Raw genomic sequence first — 6,981 nt, 5'->3', positions numbered from 1 at the left:
TTTGTTCTTTTGGCTTAGGATTGACTTGGTGATGCAGGCTCTTTTTTGGTTCCATATGAACTTTAAAGTAGTTTTTTCCAATTCTGTGAAGAAAGTCATTGGTAGCTTGATGGGGATGGCATTGAATCTATAAATTACCTTGGGCAGTATGGCCATTTTCACGATATTGATTCTTCCTACTCATGAGCATGGAATGTTCTTCCATTTGTTTGTATCCTATTTTATTTCACTGAGCAGTGGTTTGTAGCTCTCCTTGAAGAGGTCCTTCACGTCCCTTGTAAGTTGGATTCCTGAGTATTTTATTCTCTTTGAAGCAATTAAACTTTTTCTTCTTGAATGTGAAGGGAAAGCAAGCGTATCACATGGCCAAAACAGAAGGAAGAGCAAGAATGGAGGAAGTGAACACACTTTAAACCACCAGATCTCCTGAGAGCCTCACTCACTACCTTTAGGACAGCACCAAGCCATGAGGGATACCCACTCCCAGGACCCAAACACCTCCCATTAGGCCCCACCCCCAACACTGGGTATTACATCTCAACATGAGAGTTGGAGGGGACATCCAAACTATATAAATGACACTTTCAGAAATAAATAACTTCCCAAATGAAAAAAAAAAAAAAGAAGTGGCAGATTTTGGAAAAGGCAAAGGCTAGTTTCTGTATTCAATAACCATAAAGCAGGAAGGTGAATGATTGTGTTCGCATAAAGCTTTGGTTCAGACTCAACCTTTAGGTGAAGCAAGCTAACTGCAAATGGAGAAATCTTGAGTACAAGACCTCCTTAGCATCCTGTGGCACTGAGGTGTCCCTAGCTTTATGCCTTGCAATGTTCTTGGCTAAAGGCTTAGAAACATCTTTTTGATAGTGGAAGAGAAGAGTTTGATATAAATTCACAGTCAGCCACCTGTTAGATTCTTTAGTAGGGTAGTGGTTCTCAAAGTTGTTCAGGCAGATAATCAGAAGACATGATGCTCTGTGTAAAGAAAGAGCCACAGAGCACTAACTGATTTCATTCCCCCAAACACACAGAATTCTTACCAGCAGAAAATATGACTCTGCTATATGTAAACAATGTGAAATAATAGAATCACAGCCACAAGCACACTATCCACAAAAGAGCAAAGCATCACACTAAACACCTTTGGCTGCTTACAAGTGCTTTCTGTTTTTCCAAAGAGCAAAGCCTGAGGCAAACTGAAAAGAAGATATTCTATTTGCCCTGCTTTTTGTCTCCAGTGAACTGTGAAAACAGAGCCATTATTTTAGCAGCTGGACAATTCCACCCAGTACTCTGTTGGAAAACACATTGAGAGCCACTATTTTAGAAAAAAAAAAAATTCTCCTCAAAGGGTCCTGGATTCTTCTTTTTCCTTCTCCTTTATTACTTCCATCTTCCATTTCAGGCACACAATACCCTAAGGCTCTTTCTAACACTTCCTTTGTAAAAAAAAATTATTATTATTCAATAAATGTCTTCACAATGAGATGTACATTAATATTAAGGCAAAATGTTTGATCATATGCAAGGATATTTACTTGTTTAATAAAAAGAATAAATAGTAGTAAGTTAAATAAATGAAGCTCTAATTATAGGCATCAACTAGCAAGGTAAGGAGCTCAAACTTTGGCCAGTGAGGACAGGAAAAGACAAAAGCGCTGAGCTCTCATAAGAATGAAAGGCGACAGGTTGGGCGTGGTGGCCCACACCTGTAATCCCAACACTTTGGGAGGCTGAGGAGGGTGGATCACCTGAGGTCAGGAGTTCGAGACCAGCCTGGCCAACACGGTGAAACCCCCATCTCTACTAAAAATACAAAAATTAGCCGGGCACGGTGGCAGATGCCTGTAATCCCAGCTACTTAGGAGGCTAAGGCAGGAGAATCGCTTGAACCCGGGAGGCAGAGGCTGCAGTGAGCCAAGATCGTGTCATTGTACTCCAGCCTGGGCAACAAGAGCAAGACTCCGTCTCAGAAAAAAAAAAAAAAAAAAAAAAAAAAAGAACTAAAGGCGACATTGCCTATTCCAGGAAGAAATGGCAGAGTTCTGAAGAGTGTAAAACTGCATAAGGAGAAGGAAGAAGCAGTAGAAAAAACTGTTTTATCTTAAGGTGGCTTTCTAAAAGTTTGTATTTCCTCATTTGGATGTAGTATTGATTAATGAAGCATTATCTGAGGTTTGGATTATTGCTGAAGTTCTAATTTTCTCCATCTAAAATTAGGGCATCACTGCCCATTTTTCTGTATTCTGAGCACTTGAATTTATTTTTTTAATTAGTGTTATGTTTTCATTTTTTCATATTTATTTCATCTTGAAATAATTCAACTCATAAAAAACTTGCAAAATAGTAGTGGTTTTTTTTCAGCCTACCCTTTACACAGCTTTTCCAAATGTTACATCTTATCTAAGCATAGTACAATTATCAAAACCCAAAAATAAAAACATTGACACAATGCTATTAAGTTAATCTACAGTCATACCTTATTCAAATTTTACCAGTTGTCCCACTAATGTTCTTTTTCTTGTACAGGATTCATTTAGTTGCCATGTCTTCTTAGCCTCATGTAATCTGGAACTGTTCCTCAATCTTTTTTTGTCTTTCATGACCTTGAAACTTTCAGTGAGTCCCTCAATTTGTTTTGTCTGATGTTTTCTCATGATTAATTCAGGGTATTCATTTTTGGCAAGGATGCCATGGAAGGGATCTCGCTCCCTTCTTAGCACATTCATATTAGGCGATGTCATATACTGTTACGTCTCATTACTGGTGACGGTAATTTTGATGCCATGGTTAAGGTGGCAACTTTCATTTCTAAACTGTTGTTACTCTTTTTCTCCTTGCAATGAGTAAATACCTTGTGGGGATATACTTTGAGAAAATGCAAATATCCTATTTCTTGTCATACTTTTGTTCACTAATTTTAATATCCAGTATGATTCTTGCCTGCAACAATTATTACTGTGGTGTCTGACAAATGGTGATTTTCTGTAGAGTTGATTCTTTCTACATTTCTCCCCTCCTCCCTTCTTCTCTTCTCACCTCTCTCCTTTTCTTCCTTCCTTTTTGTTCAAATTGTCCCAATTTAGCTATTGGGAATTCCTTCAAGTTGATTTCCGTATCTTCTCAATATATCTCTATCATTTTTCAGCACTTCCTTAATCCCTGGCACCACAGAATATTACAGATTCTTCCTGTCCTTTCTTTGACCCAGCCCTGGAATCATCCATTTTTCCAAGGAACCCTGGTTTCTTTTACTGAACAGAATTATTTAGAAACTAAAATCTTGGTGCTTTTTATGTTAATTCTATTATGTGTCATTGCTCCTAGGCTCTTTCCCCCAGAGAGAGCTGGGGAATATATGTATGTACATACATACACATGCACGTCTGTATTTCTTTCTATCTGTCATCTATCTAGCTAGCTAGCTAGCTAGCTATCATCTATCTATCTATCCAATCTACCTATTATCTATCACCTGTTAAAGACCATGAGTTCATACTAATATCTCCAATTCGAATCCAATACCATAAGTTTTTTTCTTTATTTTTTTTTTCTTAACCTAGATTTCTCTTCTTCCTTATTTGTAACTCTTTTCTCTGACAGGGAGAAATCTGGCTCTCATTGTCCACAACATATTTTCATGTTTGTTCAATCCCCCAAAAACACATAGAGTAGCTTCAGAACTACTAAAACATACCACGGTTCAAACCATGTTTATTTGCTAGAGCACATGTGTGCTACATCCTTTTTGTACTTAGTCTTACACCATATACTCAAAATCTGTTTCCCAAAGTTACTTAGGATAACTGTGTTCTTCCCCAACTCCTTCAGTGTGACTTGGTTATTCATTTGTTATACAGTTAGGTTTATTTGTTACTATTTGTGTTACATTTTGGGTTGACCTCCACACCTCAGCTGATTTAATTGTTTATTTATTTGGGGGCTATGTGAAACATTACCATGTTTCTAAACACTCAAACTAAACAAAAGGATATATCCAGAGAAGTTAGACTGATGGCTTATAATTAATATGTTTTCTTTATTCATTTACTTATTTTTTTATATTTTTCTCTGGTTATTATTTCAGTCCCAAATTCATAGTTAACATTTTTCCTTTTCTGTCACTCTCTTGGGTAGTTTAGTGAAGGGAACTCTAGGTATAGGTGATGTTAAAGATAGATATATAGAGATATGCACAAGGATTTATGCAGGCACATATTTATACATTAATAGAAATCACTTCCTGCTTCAAAATGTTTTTATTCAACAATCTATATTCCAAAACAATACTTCCATAGCACTCCTGCCTGAGGCGAAGTCATTCAGAAGCTCTGTTGATAGAAGTAGAGCAGAGGCTGCTGAGGAGTTTGAAGAGAACTGTGCCCTAACCCTCCTCCTCCACAAAACATGAGGATGCATGGCCAGCTGCGTGATCTTTTCCCCTTGCTGATTTTCTATGTCCTCCTTGAAGCTTTTGGCTGTTCCGAGCACCCTCCCCCTTTTTTTTTTCTGGCCCTTGCAACACCTTGTATACGTGGCTGCCTTTTCTGTTTTTCCTTCTTCTGTCGCTAATATTCCAAATTCTTGTTCTCTATCAGACAGTATCTTATCTACATTTGGTGCCACAAAATCTGTGAAAAATGTACAACAAATGCAAGATCAAAAATCAAAACTTGAGCTGTCTTTTTTATAAATGGCTATTCCAGCTCTTTCCTTTCCCTCCAAACTACTGCTGAACATTTCCCAAAAATAACCAGAATTGTTCAGGTTGTTCAAAGCAAATCATAAGCTAATTAGTGAGCAGAAAATCCTCCCCAAAGCCCTCTTGACCACAGGTACAGAGCTGCAGTAAAAGGTCAAGAGTAAGTAGAATCCTGTAGAATCCTCAGAAGAGGGCTGGTGTGTGGGCATGCTGGGTGAAGAGCCCACTCTGCCTGGAGAGTTAATCCATGACAGACCAGCCAGGTTGTAAGTCTCAGAAATGCACACAATTGGTCTTTTCTTTTATGTATCACATAGACCATGGTATTAAATTTACTTTTATGTGAATATCACAGAATATAAAGAAATCAAGGTAAAACAAAGAATTATGAACTTCAGATAATTTTTTTCTGCAACAAAAGTTATTATTCATGCTTCAACAAATCTCTAAAATTGTGGCACAATCTTCTGAGAAGCATTGTTAAATTGGAGTATTATACTGGAAAACTGTATTATTTAATATTTGACAGGATCTAATGATTCTCTACTATGATATATGAGGAAAACAATTCACCCAAGATTTTTGCTGATTATGTTATTTTTACAATTTCAAAATATAAGTCATTTTCTCCTATCATCTGGTTTCAGTTTCATAGTTGTGTAATTCTAATTCTGTATTTAAATAAAGTCACCAATTTCCACCAGTTCTTGTGTCATGGCTTCTCTGTTCCTGGCATCTTGGTGGCTAGATTTTGTCAAGAAGTGTGTTTTGAGATGTCCTAATGGGACCTGTCTTCTCTGAGTTCTTAAAAGCTTGAAAGCAGGTGTTTTTGTTTTGTTTTGTTTTTGACAGAGTTTTGCTGTATCAACCAGGCTGGAGTGCAGTGGCATGATCTCAGCTCACTGCAACCTCTGCCTCCTGGGATCAAATGATTCTTCTGCCTCAGCCTCATGAGCAGCTGGGATGACAGGTACCTACCACCATGCCCTGTTAATTTTTGTATTTTTAGTAGAGACAGGATTTTGCCATGTTGGCCAGGCTGGTCTCAAACTCTTGACCTCAACTCATCAGCCCGCTTTGGCCTCGCAAAGTGCTGAGATTACAGGCATGAGCCACCGTGAGCGGCCAGCATGTGTCTCTTGACCTGGACAATGCTTCATCTAGCAATGAAATGTTTTGGTTTTGCTTTCCTCTTGTAGATATTGTTCCACTGTCTTCTGGTATTGACCACTGCAGTGGTTAAGTCTGAGAGCAGTTTGGTTTTTCCTTCTCATAAGTGACTTGCACGTCTGTTTTGCTTTAGGGCCTGACTGATTTGATACACTTTCTTTCTCTTTGAAGTTCAGTAACTTTACTAAGATGTTTTCCCAAGTTCATACCCTGTGCCAGTTTCTCCTGGAATGCAGTTTGTCCTTATGTCCAACACATCTTGCTCCCCACCTTGAATCCTCTCAGACCACCTTTCACTCCAGTCTTTTCTGTAGTAGCCAACTTGATAAGCTGTCACCTGACAGTATCTTGCCTCAAATAATACTCAAATCCATCTCTTTCTGTCCAGGGCTTTGCCAATGTAGGGATTTGGGATTCCTAGGGGGACCCTCTAGACCCCTCTTCATGTGCAACTTTGGAAGTACAAGCGGGTTAACTTTATGCAACATGGTACCCTTTATTCTGGGAGGAATAGAAAGAGGTGTTGCCCATTTCTCCTTTTGAGTAGTGCAGGGTGCCACAGCAAGACCTGACTTGGGAAACACTGATGTTTGTATTCCCCTTCCCTCTTATGCTCTTCCCAGTTCTTCTCTTCTAATGCCTGGGATTACTTCCCAAAATAACTACCTGAACATAATACCTTGTCTCAGGCTAGGAAGAATAATTATTTCTAAAATGTCCTTGGATTATAGGTTTGCAACTTTTTGTTTATTCATTTATATTTATTTCACTTTTTCTCCTCTGTAAATGTTTCCCTATCTTCACTTTTTTTTCCATCTTATTTATTGAGCTTGCCTCAAGCCTACTCCAGGTTTCAAACAGATTTTCTCAGTCCAACATGACATAAATCTCTGTGATTATTTCATTTTTCTCTTTGATTCCTTTCCAGCACTTTGCCATCCTATTTTTCGTTACTTTTAATAGGTTATTGTCTCCTCTTTGATTTGTTGTTTCTCCTATTGGTATGTTTTTTAAACTTTCAAGGGATCACAGTGTATGGAAGGGTAATTAATTGTGTGATGTATGTTCTTCATCTGCTTTTTGCTTATGTTCATTTCTTATCTATGCAT

Source organism: Homo sapiens, chromosome 1 (assembly GCF_000001405.40).
Source record: "Homo sapiens chromosome 1, GRCh38.p14 Primary Assembly".
Classification (NCBI taxonomy): domain Eukaryota; kingdom Metazoa; phylum Chordata; class Mammalia; order Primates; family Hominidae; genus Homo; species Homo sapiens.
Note: the sequence above shows the minus strand (reverse complement) of the source record.